The 16,603-nt window shown below is 38.0% G+C and overlaps 1 protein-coding gene across 5 annotated transcripts in view; it reads right to left on the reverse strand.

The window, feature by feature from the left end:
• CDH8 (cadherin 8) overlaps positions 1-16,603 on the reverse strand; it is a 389,189-nt gene that overhangs the window by 368,800 nt on the left and 3,786 nt on the right. For all 5 annotated transcript variants that reach the window (NM_001796.5, XM_005255760.5, XM_047433482.1 and 2 more), the window contains exon 2: positions 5,103-5,553. In NM_001796.5, the coding sequence (NP_001787.2) occupies positions 5,103-5,354 (252 nt within the window). In that variant the 5' untranslated portion in view covers positions 5,355-5,553. The remainder of the gene's footprint in view (positions 1-5,102; positions 5,554-16,603) is intronic.

The following is a 16,603-nucleotide window of genomic DNA, read 5'->3' on the forward strand; positions in this document are numbered from 1 at the left end:
TCAAAAATGCTCTTTTTCTCTTTATCCCTGAACCCTGGTTCAACAACAGGTTAATGCATATCAGCTTCCAGGTTACTTCCTTTGGGAAGATTCCATCCTTCCATAGAATAGGGCAGCTTCCTCTGTATATGCTTCAAGAGAACCACATTCCTTCATGTCAGAGTACTTATTTCAGTTTTCTTGTGATGTTTCTTCATGTGATTATCCGTTTTAATGTCTGTCTCCCTCTAGGAGCTCATTAGTTCCATGCAGAAGGCATAGATAGATCTGTGTTTGCTCAGAGCTGAGAATCCATTGGCAATGAAATGCTCTGCAGATAGTAGATGCTCAATAAATATTCGTGGCATGGTTGTATCAATCACCGTCCTGACTTGCAGCCAAGGGTTCTCATAATGACATCAAGCTGTCTACCATAAAGAGTATCTGCACATTTTACCACAGAATAGTATTTTTGTGTTGTGGCCAGATTCATCAAAAACCACCACAGGTTTTCTCTTTCCTAAGACCAGAACAAATAAGCATAATTGGGCTAAGTGTCCCATGAGCCACTTTTTTCTCTATCACAATTTCCAAAGAAAGTCAACACTGAGGTACATGGAGATGTGAATGCTCAATGTTTATGTGTTTATGAACAGGCTCTGCCTTGCCTTGGTCCACAGAGGACTGGAGGCAGGAATAGAGTCTATTTGACTGGTATTTGCTTTTCAGAAATCCAGACAAAAGCTTTCTGCTCCAGTTTGTACCATAAGCCCAAACACAAAAGTCTGAAGATAGTTGGAAGACAACGTCTTGCTTTATGACAGTGGTAAGAAAGACAGTCTCCACAGAGGTAATTCTGCAGCTTTTTGAAAGAGAGTTGCTTAAACAAGTTAACATTTTCTTCATGCCCACTACCTCAAAGAAAGACTTTCAAAATCAATACATAAAAAAAATTGTTAACTACCCAGGTGGTCTATAAAATACTCATATGAAAGAGAGAACATGAAAGTTCCTTTATTGAAAAATGCCACTGAGCTTATATGACTATTATACATTCTTCCATTATGTAGGTAAATTATTCATTTATTTTTTCATGTAAAGTATTTACTGAGCAGTTCCTATATGCAGGCAGGGTTCTAGGTTCTGGGAATACAGAGCAAAGACCAAAGGACTCAAAAATCCTTTTCTTTGCGGAACTTGCATCCTAGAAGAGACAAATAATAAACATAATAAGGTATAGAGTATGTTAGATAATGATTATCAGGAAGAAAAACAGTCAAGCATAGACAAAGGGTATGAAATATTAAAGGAGGAACAATTACATTTTAGAAGAACTGATAGGGAAAAACTCTCTAAGAATATGACTTTCAGGCCGGGCACAGTGGTTCACACCTGTAATCCCAGCATTTTGAGAAGCCAAGGCCAGAGGACTGCTTAAGCTCAGGAGTTTAAGATCAGTCTGGGAAACACAGGATACCCCATCTCTACAAAAGATTTAAACAAAAATAGCCAAGCATGGTGGTGCATGATTGTAGTCCCAGCTATTAAGAAGGGACTATTCACTTGTGCCTGGGAGATCGAGGCTTCAGTGAGCTGTGAGTGCATCACTGGACTCCAGCTTGAGTGACAGAGCAAGACCTTATCTTAAAAAGAAACCAATATATTTGACCACTAACTTCATTCCATTTCAACAGAAAATATAAAGGCTTTTGTTGCTTCTGACCGAGGGAAGCATCTTACTCTCAGTCATCTTACTCTCTCCCCAGTGACTTTGCATAAACTCCTCTATCTTGCTGGGGCACTTCACTTCCCACCCCACACCCCCGGGCCAGTGACTCTTCAAGACACACAGAAACATCACCTCCACACTATACAACATGTACCTGTGAAGGGGCTCCCAGAGTCTTGTTATTCACCTAGTGAGGTAATTGTTAATTTGTCTGCCACTCCAACTACAAACACATACACACACACATACAATTAAGAATACAATTACAACTACAATTACTATATAGCAGGCACTATGCTTCTATTATTTTCTTTACTCTTACAAATTCTTATTTATCTTATTTGCATAATCCTTGAAAAACTTCAGTAACCTTCTCAGGGTTAACACCCAGAAAGTGGCCAAGCTCATATTCAGACCTCGAGAGAGTACATCTCTGATGCTAAGGAGCTTTCTCAGCATCCAGCTGCCTACCAATATACTAAAAACAGATGATGGATGCTGTAAGGTTATATGTGAAGCTCTGAAGAACCTATCGCTCAAAAACTAGCTCTGCCCTTGAGCTTGAACTCAGCCTGCTAGGTCAGAGGCGCCGCCATGGTGACTCGCAGGAGGGCCTTTCAAAGAGCAGGTGTGCTCATAAGTAAGTAATGCTTCTCAGCCGGTTCCTGGGGAGAAGCTGGGAGGTGAAGTGGTTTAAAGAGTCGGATGTGGAAGAGTGTGCACAGAGGTAAAACACTAAAGCACCGGTGGGCACCCCGATTCAGATCATCTTCGCACTCAGCCTGACTCATAATCTGAAGCAGTCACCTGAAATGTATTTTTGGCTACGCTACAACCCAAGATCCTCCAAGGCTACACTGTCATAATTCAGGAGCATTTTTCTTTAAAGGGAAATAGGTATGATGGGAAATGTTCGCAGAAAAGTTTTCCAGAAAATAAACTCTGACTTAACAATTGTTTGGGAATTGGTCATGGTAGGAAACCGTGAAAAGGCTAGATAAAAACCATCACTAAGACTCAAAAGCATTTGGGCTATTTCAAAATCCTAAGGTTCACTGGCAACATTTCTGTCATTCAGAGAAGCATGAACGTCTCACGTGTCAATAAGTCACAAGAAGATGCTGAATGCCTGGCTGTTTACCTCTATCTCTATTACTTCATGTAAGGAATGGAGATGAAATCAGTTATCGGATTCTGAGTCCAAAGCAACCCCACGTTAATTACTTTTTCTACCCAGATAAAAATGAATTGTTCTCCCAGGCATAGCATGTTTTGTTATTTACATTATGCAAGACACAGTCAGAGTGATATACCTTCATAAAAAGATAACTAAGAAAAGCAAGGAACAAAGCATCCACTATGTAAATATGCATGTATTCCCAGAATTTCATATGGTATAAGAACGCCTTGCCTTAGGGCTGATTAAAGAAGTTCTGAATATCCAGAAGTAGGCATGTAAAGACCTTACATTCTATACTCAATAACTCATAAGTGTAAATTACAGTTTAAACTCCAGTTAGCTGGTTCCTAATATGTAATAAGGTATAGTGGGTGAAATAATGGCCACTGGCATTTCCAACAGGATTCAAACTCAGGCAGATAATTTACCAGCTCTGTGATCTTGGTTTGGTTTATTAATCCATCTAAACCTCACTTTTGTACCTACAAAAAAGATAAGATAATGCTGGTAAAGAAGCTCATATCCAAAACCCATGGGGCCAGATGTATCTTGGAATTCAAAACTTTTCATACTTCAGAAACATTAAGGTATATAAACTATATGGTAAGTAACACCCTCAGCAGGGTCTGGGGCAGCACCCTGTAATCAACCACATTAACATTTTTTGCAGCAAAATATATGAACAGTCACAATTACGCACTATGACTATAATAGCCTCAAGTCGGTTCTGCTCCCTGAGTTTGTATCAAGGATACAAAAAAATCTTTCAGATTTTACACTTTGAACTTAGGACAGAGGGAGTGCAGACTTGTTTCATACATATATATTTGTATCCATACATGCAAATGAACATATATATGCATATACTGAAGGGGGGCTATTGTTTGAATCAGAAAGGTTGGTGCCCACAAAATGCTTTTATAATAGTGTTCAACAGACAATAAACACTCAGTATTGGCCAAAACATAAGTTCCTTAAAGGCAGAGATCACTGTTTTGTTCATTGATACGCCTCCTGTGTCTAATAGAGCATCTGGCACATAGGAAAGGCTCAATAAATATCCATGTAATGATTCATGATATCTCCTTATGCAGGCTTTCTTCATCCAAGTAGAACCATATGAAATGAGAAACATAGTCCTTGGGGAGGCTCAATTTGTTTTGCAAGACAATAGGGTAAAAGCAGTAATGCAATCAGAAGTTCCCAGTGAAACACAAAGAGTTAACTCAAGTCTTGAAGATCAGCATTTAATTCCCCTCCTATTTTTCTTTTAAATCATTGCATTTGGGAAGTGAATAACATTGGCCTGATTCACTTCTAAAGCTTATCAAGAAAATCAGTCATTGGCAGGCTCATAATTGGAATTATACCTACATGAAGATGTGCATCAAAATTAAAAGGAGCTTATGAACAGTTCTGAGGAATAAACACGTGTAGTCTCCAATAACCCAGTGTGATTTTGGAAAGCAGGCAGCCCATGTCTACACAAAGAACATTTGTCTAACCTGCCAACAACAGCAAAACAAATGTAAGTCCAGTCTAACACACACACGCGCGCGCGCACACACACACACACACACACACACACTCCACTAAACTAAAATTTTGATTCTGTACATTTGATTTCACCTGACAATGAATGAACTAGTTTCCTATTGCAAAGTTTTTCAAATAGTACAATGCACAGTTAAGCATCTACTTTAAGAACTTCCTTTTCTCCATCCTAGGTCAATTATTGAAAAAGCAGATGATAAAACAAAAAAGATAAATATCCACCTGCAATTAGATATATCTGCATAGCCTTAAAATAAAATAAAACAAAATAAACTCTCAGTAATTGAAGTGGTAGGAATTCAAACTGAGAAAATGTGCGTATCTCTTCCAAGTACTATAAACTAGAGAAAAGGTTTGGCATGAGATCTCTCTCGTGTGAGTGAGAAAGAAAACGTTATTTGTTTTTGCATTATATAAGCAGTGTTGTATTTTACTGATAGCCGGGTGGAAGAGGTGGTAGGAGAAGCTTTCCCTACAAGACCATTTAAAACTGTTACCTTGGGATTAATCGTATTCCTAACAGAACGACAGGTAAACTCACTAAACATCTGGCTTGAACAATTTACAGCTAAGTGTGGTCACAATTAAAAAGAGTCTGGTATTAAACATCTTAAGACCACTAACAGACCCTGAAATTGAGATCTTAAAAACAAAGCTTACCCGGCCAACAAGAATCGGTTCAGGTCCAGAAAACTCTTCCAGGACAAACATTTGATTCCAAACCCAGCCTCTTTTGGAGCGGTTCAAAATTCGCTGTTCTTCACCCAGACTGTTTAGTTCCAAAGGGGATCCACTCATTAAAACTTGAGACTGATTCATCGGAGCCATGTAAATGCAAGGGGGAAGAGTAATCCATAATATTATTAATGGAGTCCAGAGATCCAAGAGCATTTCCGCTAGCCGTTCTGGCATGGTCCCACCAGTTAAGCAAATCACCACGAAAATGAGACAATTATTTTTTTTGTCTCCGGTCTGCAGCCATCCAATTCATCATGCAGTGCCGAGCATTTACTTACAGCTCTGCCACGTGTCTATAGCACGGGAAACAGACATCATCTAAGCAGCTTTTCTAAGACCACAATCCATTGGCTTTTCTTTTCATTGAAATTTCCTGCAAAAACAAGGAGGAAGAAAGATAAGGGTCTACTCAAACTGGTTTTAAAATAAAATCACTGCTTTTCAAAAGCACCTGAAGTGAACAATAGTAGGCACTTCTCAAACTCTTGAGTTAAGAAAGTGGATCTGAAGAATTAGAATAAGTAGCCTAGTAAGTCCTTTAATTTTTAAGCTTTATTTAGATTTTAGCTTTCATTGGTAGCTATGTGACCTATCAGAAACTGGTTTGCGTAATAGAAGTTCTCTTTTTCCTCCTTGCTTCTTTCTTTCCCATCTCCCTCTCTTCCTTCTTTTCTTCCTCTTGACTTTCCTCCTCCTCTGTCCATCCCTTCCTCTCTCTTTCTTCCATTCTTTTTTGTTTTAACACTTCAGGGTGTATGCTAACACAGCCCACTTGTCGAACACACTGTAGGCCTTTTATTCTTTCTTTCTTTGTTTTTCTTTCTTTCACTTTTTTTTTACCTGTTTAAAAGACACATTTTAGTTCCTTTTATGCTAAACTCCATGAAATAACTAGCTTTGAATTAACAACATTAAAAAAATATAAATGAGAATGGGAAGGGGAATTTACCCCAATTTTTACAATCTTAGCTTCCAGGATTCATCAGAAGGGATTGCCCAGTTCAGGGTGCAGAATGCAATCCTCTGCCAGGATGCTAATAATGAGTGAATAAAATTAGAATGCTCCCAGAGAAAAATTCTGTAATGTCCAGCTTGTATGCTATAATCAGGACAGTGTCAGGGTCCCCATTCTAAATGTACAGTTAAACAGGAGATTTAAATTGTGGAAATCCCCCTTGGAAATAAAATATGGTAACAAATGTAATGTTCAACTGAAGAGATTCAGAAAGGCAAGGGCACAAAAAAATCCCCATTACCTGAGGTGTCAGATACATTTTTTGCTTACCCTCAGCGTGGCAAAATGTGTTTCTTTACTCTCAAAAAAAAATATTTTTAAAGAAATAATGTTCACTGCAGATCCAAGAGAGAAGCTTTGCTGAATTAGACTAAATGGGAAAATAAGTTCTCAGGACACCCTCGGGGACAGTGTGGCTCAGGGAATTCATAAAAGGGGAGGAAACCTTTCACCTCTAGGTCTCTGGTTCCATTCTGGCTCAGAATAAGAAAGCTAGAAAGTCATTAACATTAGCTGGGCTGGTGAGTGGCCTTACTGAAGCCAGCTGAAAGGGGCAGACCCAGATTGTACTGCAAGTACAGGCAGTATCTGATCTAACAAGATGGCCAGTAGAATCACCCTGCTTGTCATTCTTTGCCTGGGCTCAGCTCAATCACCGGGACTCTATAATTTAAAAGGGCTTAACCTGATGAGTATAGAGGAGCCACAGCAAGCAGCAGTTGCTTTGGAAATGGAAGACAAAGAAAACAGCTTTCAATGGGGAGCCAATACAGAGAAAACGGAGTCCAGAACAAAGTCTCCTCCTTTCCCTGGAATTGCAGAAAATCTTCGCCTTAAAACAGATTCCCCTTAAGTCTTTCTCTCATCCCAGTGTGTGAGCAGACCTTGGCAGGCTTCAAAACTTAAACTAAACAAAATTCAAAAAGCCCCCATAAAGAAACCCCCAAATATTTGTATCTTTCTGAATGGTCAAGCCACTTATTACTTTAACAGCATTTACAGCATACCCATGCTGTGCTCTCTCTAGACCCGAGCGAGAAGTTGGTGATAAGGCATCTTGTGTGTGCTGAGGACTGTCTGTTCTGGAAACAGATACACCTGGGTTTGGATCCCAGCTCACCCTGCTTGCTGTCTCTGTAATGATGGACAAGATAGTCAAGTTTTCTGACCTTCAGTCTTTTCTTCTGCAAAGTGGCATTAATAATAATTCCTACCTAACGGGACAATAGTGTGGTTCAGAAATAAGACACATGTAAACCAGCCAGATCATGGGAAATACTTGGTAAACTGGAATCCACGTGGTTATCCTGGGCTAGATGTGTGGTGATGACAGGATTCCTGCCCTAGAGAGGCTTTGAGAAAACAAAAAAAATGAATGAGCAGAGTGAAGCTATGTAACTTCTGCAGTAAAAGTTGGTAAGGTATGAGGGTGTCACAAAGTTACGCAAAGATCTTCCCTATGGTGGAGGATGAGGATGGTGCTAGAGGGGAAAGACCTGTGCCATTTAACACACATGGGGAGATCCATTCTAGTCATGGAGGCTCAGCCTAAACTTCTCAGAGAAAAGGGACTTAACTCTTTCCAGTTCTCCCCTACTCCATGATAGACCATACTTGAATGTGCAAAAGCCATGTATGTTATTCTCCAAAGGCATAAGTTTTGTTTGTTTATTTGTTTACTCAGGCTCATATTTATGGGCTCAAGTGATCCTCCTGCCTCAGCCTCCAGAGTAGCTGGGCGTGCACCACCATGCCTGGCTAATTTTATTATTACTATTATTTTTAGAATTGGGGGAGGGGTTGATCTCCATCTCGAACTCCTCACCTCAAGTGATCTTCTCACTCCAGCCTCCCAAACAGCTGGGGTTACAGGCATGAGCCACTGTACCTGGTTGGCCTGGGTTCTACAATAGCAGAACAATGAGATGGTTGTGAGAATGACCTCTAGTGTCAGCCTGCTTGGGGTTTGAGTTCTAATTCCTACACTGACCAGTTGTATAACGGCGGAGGGAGGGATAATTAACAACAATAGCAATGAAACAATGATAATAACACTGATCTGACAGGTTGGTTTTGAGGACTAAAGGAGATACTCATGGTACGTCAGATAGGATAGACTAGCATGCACAGTTCTTTAAAATTTTGCCAAACACTCTGCAAGTATACTCTGGCATCTGCTTTGTTGCTAATGACTCTAGGATAAGAAAATTTCATCTAAATTTAAATTCATAATAGACATTTTCATGGAAACCACCAAGCAGCAATGAGGATGGACTGTGGTATGTTGGATGGACTGCAGCATTGATTGCAGTGAGTTCCCTCTACCTGAACTCACCAGAATAAGTTAAAAAATGATAATAGACTCTGGACCAATGTTATGCAATGGCATAGCTGGACTAGTCAGGATAAGTAGGTTAATTAAAAAGGGGATACGTGTGTAGTCACGAATAGTATCCACTAACACAATATCTTACTGTTAGATAAAGCATATAATGCCTTGCTTTGTTGTGTTCAAAACTGAGGCAGAGAATAATGAAATGATTTACTCAAGGAGCACTTCTAAGTAAAGAGATAACCATTATTTGAACCTAAGTAATGTAATTTCAAAATTCTTTTTGAACAAGACCGTTCCTCTCACTGTAGAAATATTTCATGAGCATATACTGTATGTCAGGTACTGGGGAGAGAAAGGCAAATGGGTCAGAACTGCTCTCTTCAGGAAGCAAAGAATCTGTTTGGCAAAGATAAAGAAATACATAAACAATTCACTGAAACGTAGTCTTAGAAGGTTTAAAAGAAATACAGAGTGATGGGTAAGCCACTCATATTGGCAGCATTAAAGAAGGTTTCCTAGAGGGGATGTCATTTAAATGTCGAAATAGAATTAACCAACTGAGAAGGGGGTATAAGTGAAAGAACATTTCAGTCAACCAATGGATACAAACAAGACCACCAATTAATCTAGGATCTCTGAATGAATCAGCATCTAAGGTAATTTTCAAATTATTATTTGCAGAATCACCCAGTCCATCGTCACTCCATCTTTTTTCCTACCCATCAAATTCATAATAATGATGGTCTCTACAGAGTACATATTAAGTATATAGCCCTTTCCTCTGCCAGTTCTTTGTGAAGAGAAGAGCATGTTTGATTTCTCCAAAGGTCTAGCCATATACCACAGAGAGGGTGTGAGGGGCAACTGAGTGCTATTCCCGTGCAACTTCCCAATTTTCAGGGGTTTCTAGGGGTGAGATGGCCAATACCCTGAAGTCAATGGTATAGCCCCGGGGAGAAATTAGCCCAACTCAGGGGAAACCTTTCATCCACATAGGTCATTCCTGTCACATCGTCTGTAGGGAGCTTCTAGAGACTGAAACACTTATATGCCATCTCTTAGATTTTGCCAAATTCTTAAATCATCTGTATTATTACTTTAAATTTTATTGAAATAGACTGTTTTTGAAATATTTATTTTTAAATGGAAAGCTAATATTATTTTCCATAATGGAATATAACTTTAAAATTACGAGGTTAATAGCAAACACTTAGGAAGTACTCAGATAATATTAAATCATAAAGAACTATACATACACAGATATATACATATAGATTCATATCTATTCTTCAAAATAATATAATATTATTATTACTTTATTATAATCATTCTCATTGTAGAGATAACCAAATTAAAGTACAGGGAGATTAGTATTTTAAGTAATGTTTCATTTTTACTAAACCAGACACTGTTAAAAGCCTGAGGTCATCTCACTATTTGCTAAAAAGAAAGACCAGCAATAGTTAGAGGCAGACTGGTTAATATTTAATAAGTGGCTCTTTGAAAGAAAAAATTCTGATTTGTAATGTTTTCTGATTTTCCTGGTATAAATACTTCCACCATGACCAATTTTAAGCTTCCGAATGACCATTAACCAGCTCTGAAAATTACTGAAAATTTAACCATCAGCTCTGTTAAAACCCAATAAAGAGCCAATGCTAGCACACCTGTAGTGGGGTGCTTCTCAAATATTAACGTGCATCCAAATTACCTGGAAATCTTGTTTAAACACAGATTATGAATCACTTAGGTTAGTGTGGGATTTGAGATTCTGCATTTCTTATAACCTTCCTGCAGTGCTGATGCTACTTACTGATTTGAAAACCACACTTTGCGAAGCAAGTAGTTCTACAGAAGACCAGCTCGCAGCTCAGACCTCCTAGAGATAACCTAAAGGACTCAGTGGTGTGGTGGAAGAGTCACTTCCTCATGTCATTGAATGTCATGCCATGAACTACTTAACCACCGCTGTGAATAAAGGACTGAACACATGGATTTGGGGAAACCTTGAACTAGGGTATATGAATATATGCAATTTTATATGATGTGACAATACTTTCCTCTCCTCACAGATCTATTTTATGTGAGGCACTGGGAAAATTGCTGAGCTAACTGGTGTGTTCACAGGCACATGCATGCTATCAGGGAGAGTTGAGACTTGGTCTTCAAGGCAATCCTGCTAATTCGAGAGGGATGGGACTCTGCTGTGACACTTGGAACCACACTATTTGTATGCTTGTACCTCTGCCATGGGCAGACTAACACTGTCCTCTTAGAACATCAGAGAATGGCTTTGTAGAAACTTGTGAGATGCAACTGAGTCTTATGTCAGTGTTATCAGTATTAATTAATAACTGCGAATAGTAGCTGCATACACAAACTGCTTAACTTGATGCAAGGAAGAAGAAATTGAGCAAGGTTGTAAAGCTGGGGTAAAAGAAATCAATTTATTTTTACATTTTCCAACCACAGTATGTGTGTCTGACAAAGCAATCTACTTTATTATAATGCTGCTGCATTGATTTACACTCAGATAGTGAGATGAAGAGATTTTACAGTTTCTCTGGAATTCTTACATATACGAAAGTCTTTAGAATTCCCCCATATGATGATATATTTTCCTGGGTAAAATACTTAAAATCTGACTTTTCATTCATACTTACATTTCAGAGATAGTTCTAATTACAGCCTGAATTTCACTCTGCTGATTCCAACATTATTTTAAGATGAACTCAGTCAAGTCACGGATATATAAGTCATTATGCAAAAACATATTACACCATCCGTTTTGTAAATAATGTGGATTAAAGTTCAAAATGATGAACAACACACTGATAGGTGACGTCTAAAACAAAAACAGGCTTTTACAGACACTTCAGGATTCAATCCAGCAGATTATTGTGGTTGACAGGAAACTATGCTTTTATTATCCACTAGGCTTAGCAGCCACAATATTTCATGAAAGCAAAAATGACACAGAGGACCAGTGAGTTTCTATTAAAAATGTTTCTGACCTTGAATTTAGAGCCATTAGCAGCCTGTTTCAAAACAGGTAAATGCACATTGAATTCAAAGTGGTATTTCACGAAAGCAGGGGGTGGCGATTCAGTGTGTGACCCAGAGCAATTCACCCAAGCCCTGGCTGAATGGGGCTGAGCAGGTAGAAAAAGCCTTTGGATTTTAGAGAGGAAATACACTTGCATTTATTCAAATATAAATAATACAGGAAGATCACCTTTCCTAAAGCCTTCAGAATTCTCTAACCAGATTCCCTTGGCAGAAACATATTCTGAAATTGTTTATGTAAACACACACACCCACACACATACACGTGCACATATTATTTTGTGTATCCTTCACTCAGCCACAACCCTTCCGGTCATCCTTTCTGGCATCAGACCACATATTTATCCAGATGTCAATCTGTCCAAAAGCATATTGTTTGCTTGTTTTGACATCCAGAATAATATCTGTCAAATCCATTTTTTTTTTTTTTTTTTTTGAGTTGGAGTTTCACTCTTGTTGCCCAGGCTGGAGGGCAATGGCACGATCTCGGCTCACTGCAACCTCTGCCTCCTGGGTTCAAGCAATTCTCCTGCCTCAGCCTCCTGAGTAGCTGGGATTAGAGGCACCCGCCACAATGCCCGGCTAATTTTTTTTGTATTTTTAGTAAAGATGGGGTTTCACCATGCTGGCCAGGCTGGTCTCAAACCCCTGAACTCAAGTGACCCACCTGCCTCAGCCTCTCAAAGTGCTGGGATTACAGACGTGAGCCACCGCGACCGGCCTCAAATCCACTTTTTGCTCTGTTACTGCCATGTTACTCCTCTCTACCTGAAGTTTTTGTTTTCTTTAAGTTCTATAATTGCTGGTTTCCTTTGCAAAAATCAATAAATAAATGCCTCTCCTCCTCCTTCTTTCCCAAGGTAGAGTCACAAGTTTATTCTTCACGTAGAAATTTTTCTGTTACAGAAATTTCAGAATGGGGTGACTAAGCCAGTGACAAAGACAATAAAGTCAAAATAAGATCTCTTCTCTAGTGTTCTAGAACCAGACCTTTACTTAGAAAACTTTCTTGGAATCATCAGTTTAGTTAAGATATTGAGAGTAATTTTCTTCTGTTGGGCTTTTTAAAGGCAAACCAGTATCAAGATCATCCTAAAAAAAAAAAAACGAGTATCAGTCCCACAACTCCCTTGCCAGTTACAGACACAGTGGTGGCCAGAAAGTCATTTCTCGAGTCTAATCTAAATCCCTCCTTCTTTGAAGTCACGCCCTTTGCAGTCTTTAGATCACATGTTCAGAATTTAACAGCCAGAGACCTACTGAGTGACAACATTTCGTGCAGGTCCTTTAAATCATAGCAATCAATCAGAATCAACCTTCTTCTTATCAACCTTGTAATTCAGCCGAACTGTGGAAAGCCCCATGAGATAGCTGTTTAGAGCATTGACTCTAGAGTCAGATAGAAGTAGTCTGAATCACAGCTCTATCGTTCATGAAATAAGTCACCTGGGCACGTTTATCTTATTTGTGGCAGGTGAAGAAACTGATGCTCTGTGTTTAATACTACCTACTTTGAAAGATTAAGGAAGAAATAAATAAGGTAATTTAAAGTCTTTGTCAATGTAGCTATTGTAGTAACTATTTATTGGATGTTTCGAGTGCTTAACCGAAAATATTTACTGATTTTTAAAAATTATTTTATTGCAATCTCTTGCTGTGTATGTACTTCAGTGGGGAAAATTCCAATGTTCTGTGTAGACAGGTAATAAGTAAAGTAACTTTTTTAAACTCTTGATTTGTAAAACAAAAATGGCATGAACCAGGGTGGGTATAAATAAAATAGCATTTTAGAAATAGCTTTCCCTCTCCACAACTAACATACAATTAAAGCAATGACTTCGAGTAGTTTTATTAAGCCTCAGAAGGGCTGCATTTTTACTGTCCAGAACGAACCACATCTTTCCTTCCCATAGAAGACATGACATTGTCCATGACTATTTTCTGCCGAGAGGACAGAGTACAAGCACTACCTGTTCATGAGTGAGCTATTCTCTTTCAATCAAACTGTAGCCGCTCATTAAAAAACATTGCCTGGTACATATCTTTTACAAGATAAATTCCATTGCACTTCATAATCATCTACATTCCTGTGAGGACAGCACAAGTGGAAAGTCTCTACTAATTCCAAGATGAATCCAAGGTGATAGCTATATACTACTTAGAAGGGAGCTCAGAGAAGATAATGCTCGTCAGAGATTGCAACTAACTTTTTCTATTTATTTCAAGAAACTTTAGCATTGATGACAGAAATTAGATTTCTCTTCTCACTTAAGAAATGTGGAAATGGTTAAAATCACTTACATCCCATAATGGGGGCTTCAGAGTCTCTTATACTGAAATTGAAATGCAGCCAACGATCCTAGTATAAGTCATCCAGATTCTGCCAATTAGATTACACTGTGTAGTAACCATGCTTACAAGTGCACCTTACTGTCACTCTTTCATGCTTCTAAAACTTTATAGCTTAATAACCACTCACTGACACTTAACGTGAACTACAGACACAGGTGATGGATGAGTAGACAGTCAGATAGACAGCAAGCAATTATTTGACAAAAATACTATTGAGTTATGACCCAGAATGTATAATTTATGAAAATTAAGGGAGTTGCTTATGCAGATTCCAAAATACGTATACAATCTTCAGCTACTATAGTTTAGTGACACTCAAAGGCAAGAGAAGATATGTGTTTTAACCCTCTGATAAAAATAAGTATGAATTGTTTTTTGTTTTTTTTTCATTTTTCTGAGCATCCCCATGTTGAAGATGGGAATAGTTAGACACAAATGTGAATTCTGTTTATAAAGCTCAACCAGCAACAGACTAATAAAGAAGAAAATGTGCCTTCGTACTTTATAAATCAAATTTTGGAGATGAATCTTCTTACATAAAAAGGAAATAATTTCCTTGTGATATTTATACCATTCCTCCATCTACTTATTTTGTATCATTTATGTCACATCTAGAATCAAATAATCATATTTTATTCATTAATCTATCTAGAGAGAAAAAGACATGGAAAATATTGTTCTGACTGCAAATGAACTATAAATATACTGTAATATTTTCACTTGATGTACATAAAAAAGAGTAAGGGGATTCCATTTAATATTCCTTTGTAATATCTTCAACATGCCTAAAATATCAATAAACACATCCACAAAAGTACCTTATCATGGCACACTATTTTTCCCTGTGTCTATATGTGAGGGCCAGGTATCCTGCTGATTAATACAGAAGAGTATGGAATTGTCTTTGAAAACACCCATAGTTGCAATTCACATGAGGGTAAGGTGAACTGTTCAATTCAAATACAAAAATATATGAAAGAAAAAGAAGGAGGGCAGGAAGGAGAGAGGAAGTAAATTAATCCTTAATTATTTTTTATACATTCTCAACAATGTACAGACATTGAGTCACCCATGCAGCAACTCCACAATTAGTGCATTTTTTTGCCAATAAAATATAACTTTGCATCAAATATAGTTTAATAGCATTCTTTGATGCAAGTCTAGTCTTGGAGGCATTCTCATTTTTACAAAGCTGAATTATGTCATTTTTTATATTCCCATATCATTTAAAAGATGATTGTGAGAGAACAAAAATATGCTTTGTGGAACATGAGTAAGATTGATTTGAAAAAATGAGAAAAGCTGTGACTAAAAATAGACTTAGGAGGACTTATGAAATTTCTGCAGAGAAAATTGTGGTAGATAAGTCAAAATATTGAACTTTGGATATGATTGTATCTCTTTCTTTTAATGAAAATATGCTAGTGTAGGGTGCAGGGTCTTTGCTAATTTCTTATCGCATAAAATAAATATTTACTGAGCACTAACTCTGTGCTTAGCCCTGAACCATCCATCGTTCTAGCATTTGCAATTGTCTTTGGCAGTGGAGGCAGAGAAAGAAAACTGTTTGAAGGTTCCAAATATAAATGGTATTCATTTATGATACTTTCCAAAGAGATACAGAAAATCACATCTATATACTTCTACCTACTAAGAGAACTTAAACACACACACCCACAAACACACACACACACACACACAAGACATCCAAGCAAGAGGATGGATATTGTTTATGATAGGAAATAGCACATGACATTTAAAACCCAGGAAATAAAGCTTAAAACTTGATAAGAAAAAGAAACAGTATTGGCCCCGGTGCTTTGCCATGAAGCAACAGAGATTTAGTTAGCGGCAACATATGGTAGAAGCAGCTAAATGGCATCCCTTGAACTTATTTCTTTTCTGACCTTTTGAAGTTGCCAGGTTCAACTAATTTTCTCTTCATGGTTACATCTAAAGCAGCTTCCAGAGACAGGAACAAACAGTTCAGCAGAAATAGATTCGCATCACAATTTTCTGTAAGAATGAATTGAGAAAGCACTAATAGCCCTTTGGTTAATTAAGCCCTGCTAAATCGGATGATGGCCTTTGTCCATCAAAAAATTGTTCTATTTCATAAACATACGTGTATTAGATACTGGAGGGGAATTCCCAGCGCCACAGATAACATTTTTTGAAAGACTGATCAATATACAAATCAGAGTAGCCAGAAAGGCAAATCAAATAATCTAAGGCAGATGAAATGGCAAAGGGAACATGATAAAAATCTCAGACTTGAGCCAATAAATGAGTTCGTTATCTGGGCACATTTTCAAGAAGCATGCTGTGTATATGTGTGTGTGTTATTTGCGTGCGTGTGTGTGTGTACATAATACAGAGCAACAAGAATTATCATTGGTTTATCTACACCCTCCCACCCTGAGAAGTGTATAACACACCAAAGTTAGGACGTTTTTCTTAATTAAAAAGCAAAGTTAGACCATTTCCTCTGTGAATGCCAATAGCGCTGAAAACAAAAAGAAAATTGTTTTTCTCCACCAGCTACACTGAATAACTTTGTAACAAATATAAAATGACTGAAACCAGTTTCAGCAGCACCACTGAGCAGAATATTTTCAAAAAGAAGTCTTCGGACCTTAAATTGCACCTCTAATA

The sequence above is a fragment of the Homo sapiens genome, chromosome 16 (assembly GCF_000001405.40).
Source record: "Homo sapiens chromosome 16, GRCh38.p14 Primary Assembly".
NCBI classification, from domain to species: Eukaryota; Metazoa; Chordata; class Mammalia; order Primates; family Hominidae; genus Homo; species Homo sapiens.